Source organism: Homo sapiens, chromosome 5 (genome assembly GCF_000001405.40).
Source record: "Homo sapiens chromosome 5, GRCh38.p14 Primary Assembly".
Taxonomy (NCBI): Eukaryota; Metazoa; Chordata; class Mammalia; order Primates; family Hominidae; genus Homo; species Homo sapiens.
In genome coordinates this window covers 155,814,659-155,834,394 of record NC_000005.10, presented here as the reverse complement: position 1 = coordinate 155,834,394, position 19,736 = coordinate 155,814,659, and the positions used below count along the sequence as shown (strand labels likewise).

The following is a 19,736-nucleotide window of genomic DNA, read 5'->3' as shown; positions in this document are numbered from 1 at the left end:
ATATAGCCAACTGCACTTCTAAAGAACTCATAAAGCTGTGCTTTAGTTATTCTGAGTTCAATATTTACATGCAGTACCGTTCTCAGAAATACTCATTTCAAATCAATCAAGGTTTATTGGGCACTTTTTATGTGCAGGCTCTTGGTACTGAGGGGTGCAAGGAGGATCAGGACACAGTTCCTGCCTTGGAGTATTTAGTCTTAAAGGAGGGGCACATAGGTAAGCAACTAATAATTACACAAGACAAAATAAAGCAAGTGACATTAATAATAACCAGAGCAGGATAGTATGTGGGAATGAGTATTTAACTCTGCATGGGCATTTGGGCCGGCCTTTAAAGGATGGTAAGGATTTAAAAGGCAGAGAAACAGCAAGGGCCATAGCCACACCATGAGCAAAACTAAGCAGGTGTGAAAGGAAGACTGATGTCCTTCCACAACTCAGTGTAGGGTCTCTAAGAAAACAAGTTATCTAGGCCTTTCACTGTATCTGTTAATCATTTTGCATTCTGTATTCACTGTTCTCATGTAGCCAGAGGCCAAATAGGTTGACCTGATCTAAAATTATTAGAAAGAGACAGTGAAATAGAAATGCACTCAGCAAATGTGGGTTCCTTGAGAAGCACAGGTACTCATACATCATGCAGGGGCAACATGAGGGGGGTCTCTAAAAGCACAGCTCTGCTAGATGAACTACACTTTCCGCTGCTCACCTGAGAAGTGCTGAAACACTGCATGTAACAAGACTGGAGCTCGCAAAATGAACAGATAGACTTTTCCCCCCTTGGTTTCAAATTCTTCAAACTGGGCTACAGCTGAACATAAATCATAATTCCAAGTAGCCAGCTGTGATGCACTTAGAACAATTCTTTTGATGTCTTCATCTGTTGGGGTCCCTCATAGCTTGTGGAGTAGCAGCACCCTCTATTGGAAAGGAGGTCTCTTGAAGGCCCATCACTACCAGAAAAACCTTTCCAATTTGCAAATAAAAGGGATACTTGCTTCCATGTGATTCATAACCACTCACCAAATGGTAAAGAGATTTTCCTATCCATTATATTTAATGTAACAAATATAAAATGTTTTGTCTATAGAAATAAGCACTGCACAGTGATTACTTCTTTATACTGAACTTTAGAAGATCTCAGTACCTTCTGACTTTTTTTTTTTGAGATTCTCTCTGTGTCACCCAGGCTGGAGTGTACTGGTGCGATCTCAGCTCACTGCAATCTCCATCTCCCAGGTTCAAGTGATTCTCCTGCCTCAGCCTCCCAAGCAGCTGTGACTACAGGTGCGTCCCACCATGCCTGGCTAATTTTTTTTCTTTTTTTTTTTTTTTTTCGTATTTTTAGTAGAGACGGGGTTTCACGATGTTGACCGGGCTGGTCTTGAACTTCTGACCTCGTGATCCGCCTCAGCCTCCCAAAGTGCTGGGATTATAGGCATGAGCCACCGTGCCCAGCCCTGACTTTCTTAAAAACTGAGATACATGCTCACTGACAAGTACGCAAGATTCCTAGAAAGAGTATGGCTGAAAAGGTACATATAAGAGAAAACTAAGTACCATGAAACTTACTTATTAATTAAAATTTAAAATGCTATTCAAAATATTATTTTTAAAATCTATAATTCTCTACACAAAAGTAATCAAACACTATTTGGTTTCACTCACTCACTCAACAATTTTTTTTGCATGTCTATTATATCTTCAATGTGTGATTTAATCAATCAATGTAGCATTATCATTGAGCTCACATCAGGAGGAAGGACAAGGCTGCCAGCAGTTATAACACAGGGTGACAAGTAAGCATAAGGAGCAGACTAGAATCCCTAACTCAGTCCTAAAGATGGGGCTTGGTATACAGAGAGGCAGCAATGCTTGCGTTGTATCCTGAAAAATAGACTGGAGCCAACCATGCAGAAGACCAGAGAGAAGTTTCCCAGATTTAGGGAAAAGGAAGTACAAAGACATAGAGACACAAAAGATACTGAGGTATTAAGAGACCACAAAGTTCATAAATGTTAGATCATAAATGTTAGAGTTATAGGCTGCTACCATATGGAGAACAGAAAGAGGTGAGGGAGTGGATCATTCATCTCAGCATTAGAAAGGGCATTAGAGGTCATCCAGTCTAGATTCCTGAATACCTCCAGTGACCTGCCACTCGCCACTCATAAAGCTACAATGGATCTCATTTTGCACCCTGCAAAACTAATCTCTCTTTCATTTGCGGAACTCAAATCAACTTTTTTGAGATGAAACATGAAACTGAAGAACTGAAGAATTGACTATATCTTAAGATTTTTCCCTAATAAAAATAACCAGAACTAAGCTGGCATTGAGCTAGAATACCCACAGTTAATACGCTTTCCTTTGCAGCATCTGTGAGTGATAACAGCTAACCACATCTTTGAATTTATCCTGATTCCAAAGAGGACACTTCCAACATCAGGGCCCTTAATGGCTTTGGTAAATACCACAAGACTTCTGAGTGCAAGTAAAGAGGGACAGCTCTCTATAATCCCCAAGATCATTGCCTAAAGCTCCCTTGTACTCCCCTGGAGAACCTCCATTCTCCTCATCAGGCAGAGCACCACTCATATCCGCTCTCCCTACAGACTCTGTGGAAGCAATTACTAAGTGAGATCATGATTCTACTGATCAGACCCGATTGCAGTACAAGAGAACAAAATCAACCATGTTAATTTCAGCTGAGCAAGTGGGGATTTGTGACGGGGGATGCCTGGCACTTGCCAAATAGAGAAATCACAGCTCCTCAGAGAAAGCAATTCAATTTGCAAGCTCTAATTGTAAGCCGAAATTAAAAATAATGGAAGGCACAAAGCAATTGCATACAAAAGTCCAGGTAATTTCAGTGAAAAGGGAAAGCATCCTTCAATAAGCAAGTGCACTTCTCAACCTGTTTTCTCCTAAAAATCTGACAATTATTTCTACGTTTCCCACTATTTAATCAGCAAGAGGTTAAAAGAGGCAATGCAATTAAACTTAAAACAATGGTAAATCTCCCCCTTTCATATTGTGTGCATTGTACAAGATGAAATGAACTAGGAGACGGAGGCACGGAGAAAGGGAGAGACCCTGATATCAAGGAGAGGCAGTCAACAGGAGCAAAAATCAAAACCGCAAGAGCAGGTGGAGGAATATATCACAGAGTCTGCAAGAGCACAAGTAACAGTTCATCTCAGTAGCTTAAGGACTAAGGATGCAGGTTGCGGAATCAGAGAGAGTTGAAGTCATATACAAGCTCCACCTCTTCTAGCTGATTGACTTTGAGTAAATTATCTAACCAGAGAAAGGTTCAATTTCCCTATCTGCACAACCTTATAGGCTTATTGAAAGGCTAAATCTGACTCAATGAATGTATGGGGTTCAGAGAGCATCTAACACGTAACAAGCATTTAATGAATTTAAGCTTGAAAAGAAGAATGCCTGGTGCATATCAAATAAACAATAATTGTTTGCTGGAAAAAGTAGTAAAGAAGCAAAAAGAAAAAGTGCATTCATCTGTGTTTAAAAAACAAAGAGGGCCAATAATACCAGTGGAAAATGGTAATATCAGGGGGAAGAACTTATGTGGCCCCCAGAAGAAATCTCTATGCCTTCCCACCTTCACAACAGGTCGTATGAGAATGACTTCATTTTAATTTTATACAAATAGTGACAATTTATTAATAAACTATAAAGTATTACTTTCATAATCATAAGGTTTTTAAGAGTCTTTAACAGAAGTCTTTAAAAACTAAATGATCAAATTATCTTTGTTTTAGATCCATGAGAGATACAAGGCCAGAGAAGTTATAATTTTAACCAAAGTCCTGCTGTCAGAGCAAGAGCTGAATACGCTGGTTCAATTTATTGGCTGTTGTTATGGATTGAACACTCTCCCCCTAAAATTCGTATGTTAAATCCCTACCCCATAAAATGACTGCATTTGGAGATAGAGGCTTTAGGGAGGTAATTAAGGTTACATGAGGTCATAAGCATGTGTCCCTAATCCAACAGAACTGGAGTCTTTATAAGAAGAGGAGACACCACGAGTGTATACACACGGAGAAAGACCTTGTGTGGACACTGCAAAAAAGTAGTATTCTGCAAGACAAGGAGAGGGGCCTCAGGAGAAGCCCACCCTGCTGGCACTTTTATCTTGAAATCCCAGACTCCAACACAGTAAGAAAATAAATTTCTATTGTATTGGCCACCCAATCTGTGTTATTTTGTCATGGCAGCTTTAGAAGTCTAATACACTGTAATTCCCTGGAAAACAGAAATGGGTCCAAATCACATCTTAACCACCTACAATGAAGTGACTTGGGGCAAGTTACTGAGAGACTTTGGGCCTCCATCCCCTCATCTGTGACATAGAAATGATGTCATTTTCTACTACATATTGTTACTTTGGTTATTTGTATAATTAAATGAGGGATCACTAATTAAAGATCTTAGCACAATGTCAGACATATAGTAAGCCCTTGATAAGCATTCACTTTAATTATGATTGTATGATGCTTGGTTGGTAATACAACCTGAGACTTTCCATTTCCTGGTTTTCTCACTCAATCCTCTAATACTTTTGTATGAAACTATACCCACAAAGGTTACATGTAATCTACACTTTTTCCAAACCAAGAATGTTTAAAACAGGGAACACAATGATCAATGGAAACGTAAAGAAATTGCTACTTTGGCTTCTTGATTCTATTCTATTTCCTGCAAAGTGGATTTTCAAACAGGCTATGAGTTATCTTACAAAAACCAGTTGTCTTGCATTTGTTTCCCAGCAGCCTCCTTCGAGGCCTGAAGATGTGAATATTCTCCCTGCTTTCTTCTGATTTATTCTTCCCTGGAAATAAATACAGCCATCACTCTCTGCACAGGAGTTCATTGTGTCTGGGGGAAATTTTCTTGTGAAGGCTTTGAGATGAGAGAAGAGCATAGTGCATCTTACAGGAATCAGCTATTTTCAAGGCATTATTAGTGAGGCTGATGGCTGTAGCAAATTTCACAAAAGAAGGTATCTTAAAACTTCACGAGTTTTCAAAACAACTCAACTCACTTCAACATGGAGCAATGTGGGAACTGTTTCCTGGGCTCTGGGCTCATGAAGACATGAATGCCAAAGCAAAGAGCTGCACTATATAGAATATTTATTGCCAAATGTCAAGAAAGGTGTATAGTTCATCCTGCCCCCAGGACTAGGAAATTTTTGTCTCCTTAGAACAACTCATGGGAGACTTTTTTTCACCTCTTGATTACTTTTAGAGAGAAGAGTGAGAAATGACTTAATAACTGCCTTCTCGTGGCATATAAAAAATCACAGCCAGGTCATCTAGCTCTCCATTAGGACCGAACCATGCAAAGACAAAATAGAATAATATAATAATAATAATAATAGTAGAAGTGATTTGAAGCCTGTAATCCCAGCACTTTGGGAGGCCGAGGTGGGCAGATCACCTGAGGTTAGGAGTTTCAGACTAGCCTGACCAACATGGTGAAACCTCGTCTCTACTAAAAATATAAAAATTAGCTGGGCATGGTGGCACATGCCTGTCATCCCAGCTACTTGGGAGGCTGAGGCAGGGGAATCACTTGAACCCAGTAGGCGGAGGTTACAATGAGCCAAGATCGGGCTATTGCACTCCAGCCTAGGCAACAGAGCAAGACTCTGTCTCAAAAAAATAAAATATAAAAAAAAAAATAAAAAGTAAAGAAGTGATTTGAGTCAGACCAGTAATATAATTTTCTGAAAAAGAGAGTTTTTCAACATCAGAAGTTGGGAAGAAGAAGGGTTGTTCTTCAGAGTCAGCTGGCTTCAAGGTGACCTCAAATCACTTCCTACACACATCTACCATAGATATTTTGTTGCTGTTGTTGTTGTTAGAGAAAACCAAGATATTTTCTTAACAGAATCATTGCGTTGGTTTATTTCAAAAATTTACAGGTCAAGCAGTTTATGTTCATTTCCTCATTGAATCTTGACAGCCAATAAGGTAGAAAGCAAAGTGTAATGGAAAGAATGGGTATTGAGCCAAACTGCTCTGGGTTTAAATTCTGGCTTTACCACAAATAGCTAAGTCTCACTCCTCTGATCTAAACAAGGATAATTACCTACCCTTTGTGGCATTATTGTGAGGGTGACCATCATGTACATAAAATGCCTGACAAAGAGCATAACCCCGTAGATAGGTAGCTATTACTATTATGGTTGTTTGCATCACCATAATGCATATTTTAAAATAGGCACAGAGAAATGAAACAACCCTTGTAAGGTCACTAAGTCAATAAGTAGTGAAACTAGATGTGGCAGAAGATGCTAAGTAAGTGTGTATTACTCATCACCCCATCTCTCTTTCTTAGTAACAGAAATTCTTAATAAGAATTATTCAGGCTGGGCATAGTGGCTCACTCTTGTAATCTCAGCACTTTGGGAGGCCGAGGCAGGTGGATCACCTGAGGTTGGGAGTTCGAGACCAGCCTGACCAACATGGAGAAACCCCGTTTCTACTAAAAATACAAAAAAAAAAAAAAAAATTAGCCAGGTGTGGTGGTGCATGCCTGTAATCCCAGCTACTTGGGAGGCTGAGGCAGGAGAATTGCTTGAACCTGGGAGATGGAGGTTGTGGTAAGCCAAGATCACACCATTGCACTCCAGCCTGGGCAACAAGAGTGAAACTCCATCTCAAAAAAAAAAAAAAAAAAAAAAAGAATTATTTAGAGAAGAGGCTATGTGCCCGGCTGAAAGATTATCTCATATTACCCAATCTCTCCTTTACTTAACAGAAAGCTTGTGAAATACAAACAGATTTTAAATGAAACAGTCTTCTTAAGAGAAAAACAAACAGAAAACAAACAGAAAAGCGTGCTTTTCTGTCCCTCTTTACTCCTTGGGTGACTGGCTGCAATGTATATGTTATGTCATAGCTGAAGGAGCTGCAGCAGCCACACTGGAACATGAGGCTACTCTGAGATGAGAGTCATACACTAAGGATAGTGGACACCATACAAGAAACCTGGGTCACTGATGACCTTTCACATGAAATGAGTTCAGAAGTGGATGCACCAGGGCTGCCATACATCCCTGATGTCCCCACTCCTGAACTCATTTTACATGAAACAGTAAACTCTTGTGGTTTAAATACTGTTATTTCTGGCTTTTGTTACTAGCACCTAAATATAATTCCTAACTGATCCGTTAGGTATTTCTGGCTCTAAAGCTGTGGAAGGCATGTAGGGTGACCCATTAGTCTCATGTCCCCAGAAGATCCCTCAGTCCAAGGCAAACTGGGATGGCTGGTCAACTAAAAAGCAGGCTTTCTCTCAGAAGAGTGTTATCAAACATAGCTTTAAATTTCTTCTTACATAGGGAACACTTCTCACTGAACAGAAATTCAAATGTTTTGGTTGAATCCAATTCAACAGATATTTCCTGAGCACGTATAGAGCAGTATCATGGAAACCAGCACAAGGCCCAGTTCCTGACCTGAAGATCCTGCAGACTGGTTGTAGCCCTTTCATGGAAACTAGCATTCTAAGATGTATTACTCATTCATTCAGCAAAGATTCTTGAGTGCCTTCTGAACACCAGGAATGGTAACAGCAAGAAATGAACATCATCCTTGCTGTCATGGAAACTGCACTACAGTTGAGGGAGAGACAGCTAAACGAGTGAATAATTGAGTAACATAACTTCATTTAGGGTTCTTCAAATAAAGTTCCTTACACTGGAAAGAAAGGGAAGATCTACCTGAAGAAGTGATATTTGGACTGAGACTTTTACGACAAGAAGGCTCTAGTCATTCAGACAGAGGGAACACCAAATGCAAATATGTAAGCCAGAAGAAAGTCTGGCTGACATCAGAAAGATGGCCAGGGAGAGTGGATGATATGGAGCCACAGTGGGAAGAGTGAGAGATGCAGTCATAGACAGAAGGGTCAGACTCCATCAGGTCTTGTAGACCATCACAGTAAATTTGAATTTATTGTAAGTATAGTAAGTAAAATTAGAAACTACAGGAAGATTCAAAAGCAGGGAAGTAAGATCATCTCATTTATGTTTTTAAAAGATAACTCTGGCTACTGAGTAGAAAATAGATTATGAGCCTGAAAGAGTGGCAACAGGGAGACCAGTTGGGAGCCCAATGCTGTAATCAACATGAGAAACACATGTGACAGACATAGGATAGCAGCCCTGAGTTTGGAAAGCAATAGGCAGATTTGGGTTATTTTAGAGCTAGACTTGCTTAACTTACTAATGGTTTGCACTTTACACCAGCAATAGGATTCACCTTTTCAGTGGAACTTCCTTTTGTGTTATTTAAAGTCAACTAGGCCGAGTATGGTGGCTCACGCCTGTGATCCCAGCACTTTGGGAGACCAAGGCGGGTGGATCACTTGATGTCAGGAGTTCGAGACCAGCCTGGCCAACATGGTGAAACCCCCATCTCTACTAAAAATACAAAAATTAGTTGGGTGTGGTGGCAGGTGCCTGTAATCCCAGCTACTTGAGAGGCTGAGGCACAAGAATTGCTTGAATCCAGAAGGTGGAGGTTGCAGTGAGCCGAGATTGTGCCACTTCACTCCAGCTTGGGTGACAGAGTGAGACCCTGTCTCAAAAAACAACAACAACAACAACAACAAAAAAAAAAAAACAAATAATAAAGTCAAACATCTAAGATATATCAATTGCTTGCACTCCTCGATCCAGGACTAATCATAAAATTAGCAGTGTACAAAATAATCCCCACAGTATGAAAAGGCAAAATTCTCACACCTCTCTGACATACTTCTAGCAACTTTATCATTCACCTACATTTTTGTAGCATTTCACCTTAAAATCCTTGAACCATATGGAGACGAAGTACAAGGAGCACACAGTCTAATCCAAAGATTCCCCTAAACCAAGCATTTGTTTCACAATCAAAATGATAATTCTGAATAATTAGAAAACCTCACCAGGATGATATAACGCAGAGGGCCATTTACCCACTGAACATATGTTCTAGTCTTTCCTCTATTTTTATGTCTAGAACACCTAGTTCACAGCAGCAAAGGAGTGAAATCATTGTTCGGGACCCTCTCCCCTTGCTATTTAGCTGCTAATGAAGTTTGTATGTTCTCTAAGTCTAGAGGAAGTCCGCTTTTCTTTTTTTCCTCCTTATTACCTTCATTCTCCTCATTGTCACTTCTTTTTCGCAAAAGTATGTTAATCACCATGAATGGCTGGCAAACGCAATCATGGATTACAGGAGATCTTGGTGCCACTAGAATCAAACTCTAACATCAGCTTTCTTTGATGAAAACATTGATCTGATTTTAAAAAATGATAGTTTGGCACTATGTGTGGTACATTATCAACGATAAATGAAGGAAGAGACTGCCTTTGCGTTAACTACCATGGACCCAGAGCTGGGATAGCTCCATCTCTATATGTGATCTGATATATATATTTTTTAATTTATATAGCAAGTAGAGAGAAGTCATTGTCCTCTAATTTTTACTGATATAAAATCTGATATTCCATGAAATTAGGCAGTTGCTCACAAAATGACCTATAGTAAGTGGTAGCGATACAATCAAATCAAGATTCTAACAACAACGAAGCCTGTGTATGTTTACAACCTCCACTCAGTGTAACAGCTACAGTAATGCATCTGGGGTGTGAAGACATGGGTTCAAGTCTTAACCACTCGCCAATCAGGCACCCTGGATGAAATAACCAATTTCCCAGAGCCTCAGCTGCATCATCCTTGTGGGGCTTGGAGGAAGAAATGCATGTGAAGGTACTCCATAAACTATAAATTTTATGATAAATCATTATCAATATTAAGAAATAAAATTTGAACAAGTTATGGTGCATATAAAATAAAATGAATTTATTTTCCCAATTATTTAATAATATAAAGACTAATAAAGGGAGATTTGACAATGAATACATCCACCAATATCTGCCAACTTTTATCTGTTACAATAATGACAATAATAATAGTATCTCACATTTATTGAGTGCTTAACCCTTGCAAGATTCTGTTTTGTTAATATTCTACACAAAGCCCTAGGAGGTAGATGTTATTACAGTCCCCATTTTACAAATGAGGCAACTTATCAAGTGAAATGTTAGGATGTGAATCCAAACAGCCTTGCTCCCCAGTCCACATTCCATTACTATGCAGGACTAAAGTCCATACTGAAAATCAATCCTCACATAATTCATTATTCTTTTTACAGAACCATATCGTTTCTTCAAGATGGGATGCCTATCTGGTGAATGTTAAAATACTTCCAGGCAATGTTAGTGGAATGGAAATATTCAAGATTAATATTTGAGGGCATTTCTCTGGCTTTCTATAGCAGCTTAAGCCTTGTTAATCTGACTTTTTATCAGGTCCTGGTGACTCAAGACAGGCTAATGATTTCCTTCCCCCTATGAGTTTCTCTCTTTTGGTCTGTTCCAGCTGTCCTCATGCGGTAATCTGGGATTAGAACAAGAACATCAAATATGAATTTGCAGCTGAACAGTTCTGAAATCCCTGGAGGAAAGCATTAGGTACAAGCAAACTAGAAATAATAACTCTGTAAAGAAGAAAGAGCCAGGCAATGCTTTGTCTAACAAATTGAAACCAAAGTTTATAGCTACTGCTTACTATTTAAACTTGTAGCAAGAGAGTGAATGTGCAGCTAGTCACCAGAAGCTGTTCTGCCTCTCTTGGGGACACCTTACAGTTTTGTCCAGAACCCTATGCTAATGCACATTGTGTTCCCGCGGAGCCACATCATGCACCATTCAGCTCATGGGCGGATTCCCAACTTTGCAGAAGACAAATAACCATGATGGTTAATTTTACGTGTCCATTTGTCTGGGTCATGGGGTGCCCAGATTAAATGTTACTTCTGGGGGTGTGTTTACTTAAGGGTGTTTTCCTATGAAATGAGCATTTGAATCAGTAGAGTCAGTATAGTTGATTTTCCTCCCAAATGTGGGCGGCCATTATCCAATCCACTCAGAGTCTGAATAGAACTAAAGGTAGAGGAAAAAGAAATCCACCACCCCCCGACCTTTTTTTTTTTTTTTTTTTCTGCTTCACTGTTTGACCTGGGACAGCTCATCTTGTCCTGCTGTAGGACTGAATTACACCATAACTTTTCTGGGTCTCCAGCTTGGAGAAGGCAGAATGTGGAATATCTCAGCTTCTGTCATCACAAGAACATATTCCTCATAATAAATCTCCTTTTAGATAGCTAGCTAGGTAGCTAGATAGCTAGCCAGATAGATAGATAGATAGATAGATAGATAGATAGATAGATAGATAGATAGATATAGAGATATAGAGATATAGAAATAGAGATGTGTATATATGGAGAGAGAGAGAGATACAGACAGAGACAAGGATATGTAAATATCCTGTATTGGTTCTTTGTCTCTGAAGAACTCTGCCTAATCCAATGGCCATGGGTTTGGGAGTGACAACTGCTCAGAGTTATTTAGCAGGACCTCAGTGAGGAAAACAAAAAATGAGAGGCAAGCACTATTCTATAACTTTTCAAAGCACACTATGCCTGTGGATATGATGAAACAAGGTTAATACTTGGATTAACTAATATTTAGTAAACATTTGCTATATGTGAATCCCTGGGCTCGATGCTTTTCCTTATATTATGCAATGCTCAAGAAAACAAAACTATCAATGTGTATTCAACTTATGACACTATTAAAATATAATGGAGACAACTCTGCAGTTAAGAAGAAACACTTCAGAATTCTCTGCACATTTCCCATACAACACAAGGGATTATCTGGACAACTGCCTATAGATTTTTTCCTTTGTTCCATCATTTAATCTAGTTCAGTATTTCTCAAACCTCAGTGTGCAAAATAATTATTGTTCAAGGTTATAGACACCAAATCATATTTACTGTGCTTCACGTCAATTTCAGGACATTTCAAAGGTATTTTCAGGGCCTCTGTGAACAGGTGAGCAGCCTGCATCCAGCAGGAATAAACCAGGAGAGGGCAGTAGGGGCTGAAACCCAGCCTGTACCCTACCGTGCAGCTGATTCAGCTGGGGGCAAGAGGTACCTTTCTATAATTCATTCTTAAAGAGAGGGGCCACCTTTTTAAAACTCACGAAAAGGTGCCTATAATGGCTGTGCACCTAATTATTTTGATAATATGTGTTTCATGTCTTAGGAGCTGACTCTAGAATTTAAATAGTTCTAAATCCACTGTTCCTGTTTATTTATATGCCTCTCTCCTCACTGGATTGTGAATGTCATATGCTCAGTGTACCTACTTAATCATTTCTGTATCCCCAGCATCTTGCTCAGTTCCTGTAAAATAAAAGATTCTCATTAGTGTATGATGAAGTTTAAGTAAAATTTAGAAAATAAGTTAAATTTAGCCAACATCCAATGACAAAGCTAACATGTATTATATGTCAGGCATGTAGTAACCATCATATAGTCTTCACAAAAATCCTCTAAGATAGGCATTATCGTTATTATTTTTATCTCCACTTTCAGCAAAGGACATCTATTTAGTTCACATATTTTATAAATATTAGTATAATTAATAGCATTAAAACCATAATATAATCTTGACTTTTCTCTGAAAGATTAAATAGTATTGCTCCTTGTCATTACATATTTTTCTGAATTATTTTTTATAATCTGCAAAATAAATATCTCATAACAACATTGCACTCTATTAAAGCACTCTCCTATGGATGGACGTGTAGGTTCTAACAGTCGCTGTTAAAAATAACTCTTCAGGCCAGGCACAGTAGCTCACACCTGTAATCCCAGCACTTTGGGAGGCCAAGGCAAGTGGATCACGAGGTCAGGAGATCAAGACCATCCTGGCTAACACGGTGAAACCCCATCTCTACTAAAAGTACAAAAAATTAGCCGGGCGTGGTGGTGGGCACCTGTAGTCCCAGCTACTTGAGAGGCTGAGGCAAGAGAATGGGGTGAACCTGGTAGGCAGAGTTTGCAGTGAGCGGAGATTGGGCCACTGCACTCCAGCCTGGGCAACAGAGAAAGAGACTCCGTCTCAAGAAGGAAAAAAAAAAACTCTTCAATGACTGTTCTTGTACATAAGTCTTTACCTTAATCCCTGACTATTTACTTAGAATAGAATCCTAGATGTGAAATAACTGGGTCAAAGAGAATAAGCCTCTGAAGACTTGGGATACACAATTGTTTTCTTAAAATTTACCTTTTAATTTCAGTTTAGGTTTCAAGTATATGCTGGGTAATTAGAGTTGTTCTATTGCTTTTTCTGGCTCTTGCTTTAGAATGGTGCTTCTATGACTATCACTAACACTACCAATAAAAGTTAAGATTTATTGAGTACTCTCTGTGGGGCTGGACTTGGCAATTCACATGTACTACCCCATCGAAGCCCCAAAACAAGCTTACAGGGTCAGTGTGGATGTCAATCCCATGCTCTCTCTGTGGTCTATGAAGTACAGAGACTTAAGAATTGAAACCCTGATCTGCTTGGTGTCAAAAGCTGTGATCTTGACTGTTCAAATACTTGCTTTCAACAGAGGAATTTCTCTGGTGATGGTCACTTGGAATATAAATGTTCAGGGGATATAACCACAACTCTTGTATCTGTAGGGCAGTTAATAAGTCACAAAGCGCAGTCACATACAGTATTTTATTTATTATTATTTTTGTCTTGAGACAACATTTCACTCTGTCACTCAGGCTGAAGTGCAGAGCCACAATCACAGCTCACTGCCGCCTTGACCTCCTGGGCTCAAGCTATCCTCCCACCTCAGCCTCACAAGTAGCTGGAACTACAGGCATACACCACCACACTGGGCTAGTTTTATTTATTTGTTTGTTTGTTTATTCATTTATTTATTTTTTTATTTTTAGTAGACACAGGGTTTCACCATGTTGCCCAGGCTAGTCTCGAATTCCAGAGCTCGAGCAATTTACCCCTCTTGGCCTCCCAAAGTGCTGGAATTACAGACATGAGTCACTGCACCCGGACAGTACATACAGTATTTTAATTGATCACCTGATCACCTCTATAGATTGAAGACAAGACCTTTCTTTCCAATTCTGCCTGTCTGCTGGGTTGAGAAGCCAAACTCAGAAAAAACAAAAAGTAGTTTTTCTAAGGGATTCTATAGGAAAACTATTTCTTAAAGAAAGCCAGCAAAAAATACTAAGACTTTGATGAAAGCTTGACCTTTCAAAGAGTTGAGCTGAGAAATGCATAAAGGAGTCCTAGTCCCTCAACATGACCCAAGGACTAGAAAACCCAACTGGTTTTCCCTATTCTCACAGCCACACTGCTTGGACATTCTGGTCTTGCAATATACTAAGAGCTCCAAATAACAATCTCATCTATCCACCTCCGAATTCCTCTAACTGAAATCAATGCATGCCAAAGTAGTATAACTATAATTCTACATTTTAAAACACAGTTCAGATAAGGGAGAGGCTAATATTGTTTTGATTAGTTATAATGATACTTCTGATGATGACATTCCTGAGCAAAATGTTGAGGTCACAAGAGTGTTACTGGCACATTTGTATCTTCCCTTCCTAAAACCTTGTACTCATGTCCCCTGGAGACTGAGATCTTTGTGTTTCTATAGACATAATCCAGCTCTACAGATGTTTCTCTCCGGAGACCCTTCAGAAAAAGTGCTGTGTGGTAATTAAACACACGGATGCTCAGTCGGACTTCCTGGGTTCAAATTCTGGCTTTGCCACTAATGAGTTGTGTGCCCTTAAGGAAGTAATTATATATCTATACCTCAGCATTCTCATCTGTGAAGTGATTATAATACAGTAGTACCAATTTTACAAGGTTGTGGGGAGGATTATGTGATTTAATCCACATAAAAGTACATGGTAAGTGCTATGTAAGTGGTTTTTGTTATTATTACCATTATTAAGTATTCCCTCTTTTCAATCGTCACTTTTCACATGACACATTTCTACTCCCCCAGACACCAAGTGAGAGATCGTTAATATAATTAAGTCGTGTTGAATTCTCAACACCCCACTGATTTGCCATATTACCTTTGGGTTATTCTCATTTGGAAAGAGAACTACTGATGATTTAAAAGCTAAAATACAAAGAAATGACTCCCTCAAGATGGAATTTCAAGTTTATAGAGAAGATATATAGATTTTAGAAAATGAATCTTTAATGTACTCAAAATATATTTGGGATTTCAGAATGTTTGAAGTGGAAGAAACAGTGGAAATATCCAGTTCATTCTCATTTGACACATGGGGAAGCTGAGTCCCAGAGAGGCAGATTTACTTACCCCAAATAACCCAGTATGCTGTGACTATAATCCAGTTTCATGACACTCAGTCTAGTTCTCTTTCTGAAATGTGTTACTCTTTCTCATATGTTACTCTTTCTCATGGACACAAACAATTTACAGAAAGTTCTTGAAAAAAAATGTGTAAGGATGGAAATTGCCAAAGAAAAATTCATTACTTGAAAGTTTATGTCAAAAAAAAAGTTGGAAGTGGAGTAAAGGTAGTTTTAATCCTGTCACTCTCCGTAAGTATCTCCATTCCCAGCCAAGCATGGCGGCTCACACTTGTAATCCCATTATGTTGGGAGGCCAGGGTGGGAGGATCTCTTGAGGCCAGAAGTTCAAGACCAGTCTGGGCAGCATGGGGAGACCCCATCTCTACAAAATATTTAAAAACTAGCCAGACATGGTGGCATGTGCCTGTGGTCTCAGCTGCTCAGGAGGCTCAGGTGGGAGGATCACTTGGGCCCAGGAGGTTGAGGCTGCAGGGAGCCATGATCCTGTCACTGCACTCCAGCCTGGATGCCAACGTGAGACTCTATCTCAAAAACATAAATAAAGTATCTCCATTTCCAAAACAAGAAGTCTAAAATCCCTAAGTCACACCTCTCAGGCCTGCACCCCTCTCCTCTCCTACGATGATTTCAGCCTTACCCCTCTTACCTGAGGCATGTCCAGCCAAATCTGAACTCTGCCCATTCCTTCGATCTCCTCCCTGCACACCTGTTGCTCTGACCTGCCTCTTGCTGGCCTTTCTTTTTGGAATACCCTCCTTCCAACCCTGAATGCTGCCTACTAGAATCTCCTGTCAAGACTTTGAAATGAGTCCTGCTGGCCCCCCACCCCAATAAAGTAATTCTCTTTCTCCTCTGTATGGAATAAAATCTATTTACTCTTCAGTTAGAGAATGTTCTCATAATCCCACATCTTGTTGCTATTTGTATACGTACCTTATCTCCTCTTCTACGTTGAAAGCTTTCTAAATCATAACCTGGCTCACTTTAGTATTCTTCTCGGCAATCAATATGTTGTTTTATAGTTTACTAAACTGAATAAGGAAAAAATATATTCTGCATGCCTGAGTCTTTAAAAAATCTGCAGTGAAACTTTCCTTATAGTGTCATTATTCTAAAACAACTTTGCTTTATTTTAACTTACAATTTGAACTCAGCCATAGACTATTTTGTCAAGTATATGTATCTGTTACTGTAAAACAATGTTAATGTTCATTCTGCAGAGCTGTTTCAGCAGCCAGGAAAGTAAAGAGCCTAAGAAAGTGGACCCCCTACCTGCCGTTTCAACCGGAGACAGCAGCAGCACATTTACTTATTTTTTTATGTATTAAGATATGCTCAGACTTCACAGGGGAAGGACAAAAAATTCTCCTGGTTTGTTCTTGAGTGAATATTTTCCATTGGTCCTACATAAATCTCATGCCCTTTAAATAATTCTTATTATTTGGAAAAGAAAAGAGTTTTCATTTTAGCTAAAAAGGCAAATGAGAGTAACATACAATTTATATGAATGGAAATACAAAAAATAAGCAAACTAAGAAAATAATCACCCACACAAGAAAGTAAGAAACCCTAAATAAACCTATCTTAAAATAGCATTTCAAGCTTATAAAATTAACAAAAACATTTCTAGTAATTAAACCTATTGTTGGCATACACACGAGAAAAGCGGCTCCTAGATACCTTGCTAGTGGCCAAGTAAAACTTGCAGGACCCTAATATCAGAATGGCAGAACAGCAAGAACTATAAAAATGTTCTAACCCTTACATTCCATGAATCTATTTTTGTGAATTTGTACTCTAACATAATTGGACAGAAGAAAAACATATTGTATGTACAGCAGTATTCATTGCAGCATTACCAAGAATAAAATAAAACCAGGAGGCAATCTAAATATGCAATATTAAGGCAATGATTTAGTAAATTGCAATAGATCAATATGATAAAATTTATACTGTTAAAGTTATTGTAACTATATAGAAAGGTAGAAAATGTTTATGATGCACAGTTAAATAAGAGATGCAAAATACAAAATGCTGTATATACTATGATTGCAACAATGTAAAATATACATATGTAGTGAAGGCTTGTAGAGCACCATATAAAAATGAAAACAGTTGTGCAGTAGTTGCATTTAGGCATCAGGCTAATAAAGAATTTACTTTTTAACGTATAATGTCCTCAAAACATCATTAAAATTGATAATTTTTATGAACCAAACTACTTTTTAGCAGCCATTTAGTCACCAACTGACATAGTTTCTAATTGTTTTTATACTATTATTGGGACCTGCATAGGACTTACTCATTCCAATGAAACCAAGTCATGACCCTGCCTTGTCCCCACAAATCCATAAGCTCTCACATGTTCAACTTTTTGCTCAAAACTCACCCCCTCTAGGAAGCTCTCCTTCAGTGCCTCTCACATCATTTATTTACTATCACTATACCCAAAACTAATTACAGTTGACCCTTGAACAATGCAGGTTTGAACTTCATGGATCCACTTATATGTAGAGTTTCTTCTGCTTCTTCCACTCCTGAGACAACAAGACGAAACTCTCCTTTTCCTCCTCCTCCTCAGCCTGCTCAACTTGAAGTCAACAAGGATGAAGATCTTTATAATGATACACTGCCACTTAATAAATAGTAACTTTATTTTCTTTTCCTTATGATTTTCCTAATAATGTTTTCTTTTGTCTAGCTTGCTTTATTATAATACATATTATACAAAATATGTTAATCGGTTATCTATATTATCAGTAAGACTTCCAGGCAACAGTAGGCTATTAATAGTTAAGTTTTGGGGGAGTCAAAAGTTATATGAGGATGGTCATTTGTGCAGGGGGTTGGCACCTCTAACTTGTAATTAAAGACCACTGTAATTGATGTATTTTTATTAGCTCATATGTCATGTTTCAAGCATTATTCAGTTGTTAGATTCTATTTGCTTTTATCCTTCTGAACAAATTTCAAATTCTTGAAAGAACAAATCTTCTCTCCCCACCACCACTATTTTCAGTTGAGCCTAGTACAATGGTTTTCATGCAGGGAAAGCTCAGTATATTTGCTCAATGGACTGAACCCTAAATTTTCTAACTTCAAAATATCTAGTCAGGTTACTTGTAAATACGACCACCAGTAAATGTTTTCCAATGTGCAAAACTGTGTACATTTGACTTTTTTTTTCTTTCCAGCCTTTACATTTGATATGGTTTAGATTTGGGTCCCCTCAAATCTCATGTAGAATTGTAATCCCCAGTGTTGGAAGAGGAGTCTGAGGAAGGTGACTGGATCATGGGGGCAGTCTTCCCCCTTGCTATTCTCATGACAGTGAGTGAGTTCTCATGAGACCTGGTTGTTTAAAAGTGTGTGGCACCTTCCCCTGCTCTCTCTTCCTCCTAATCCAGCCATGTAGGATGTGTCTGCTTCCCTTTTGCTTCCACCATGATTTTAAGTTTCCTGATGATCTCCCTAACCATGCTTCCTGTACAGCCTGTGGAACCACGAGAAAATTAAACCTCTTTTCTTTATAAATTATCCAGTCTCAGGTAGTTCTTTACAGCAATGTGAGAACAGACTAATATAACACTTTACTGCCAATTTTGGTTAATAATTGACATATATGTGATAACCTAGGATAATGGATAGCTCAAATGGATTTAGTTTTACTATACATCATGTATATGCCTTCATACATTGTCTGACCAATATTCCACAGAGATCTTTTGGATTTTAACTTTATGTTGAGAGTAATAATTAGTCAAACTTCATAGATTTTGATTATAATTTCCTCAATGAACTACCTTAAGAATATATAGCAAACAGGCAAATTGGTAAAGACAAAAATGACTAAGGTCATTATCAACTTAGATGGTGAGAGAATACAGAACCCTTAAATGTATATTCCAGTTAGAATATTATTTGACCTGGTATACAACAACACAGATATGTCCGAAATAAAAAATAAGTGAGAGAAACAATTTACAGCAAGTACACTAATAAAAACTAAGACTAAATGAAGCAAATAATCGTGTTAATCTTTAAGAAGTATATTGAAGTTATTAAACCAGATAGTGGAATGTTTACTCAGAAAGGATTATATATAAACTGATCAAACATAGAAATAGCCATTTTTTATTCTACAGAAACATGTCCATTAATTGAAAATGTGCTTATTTTCTTATAGTTAAGATTTACATTAGAAATCATTCTGTTTTGACTTTTGTTGAAACTTTTCCTAAAATAGTAGTAACTTTTACCATCATAGTAAACATAGTCATTAGAGTTTAGTTTGTGGTTGATGAGTTAGGATCTTGAAGAGATACAGGGCATTATTTTGTGTATTTAGTAGATACTGGGTTTAAAGTATTGATATCCCTGATCCTTCCAAATTGAATTTGATATGCTC

At 38.4% G+C, this 19,736-nt stretch overlaps 1 protein-coding gene across 4 annotated transcripts in view, besides 1 other annotated feature; it reads right to left on the bottom strand.

Moving 5' to 3' along the window:
- SGCD (sarcoglycan delta) overlaps window positions 1-19,736 on the bottom strand; it is a 1,039,957-nt gene that overhangs the window by 933,394 nt on the left and 86,827 nt on the right. The gene's annotated exons all lie outside the window — the stretch shown is intronic.
- Window positions 6,125-6,184: an enhancer, noted in NCBI's record as "active region_23492". NCBI's record gives its function as "activates an Ori minimal core promoter by ATAC-STARR-seq in GM12878 lymphoblastoid cells {active_cell/tissue: GM12878}" and the evidence as "EXISTENCE:reporter gene assay evidence [ECO:0000049][PMID:35858748]".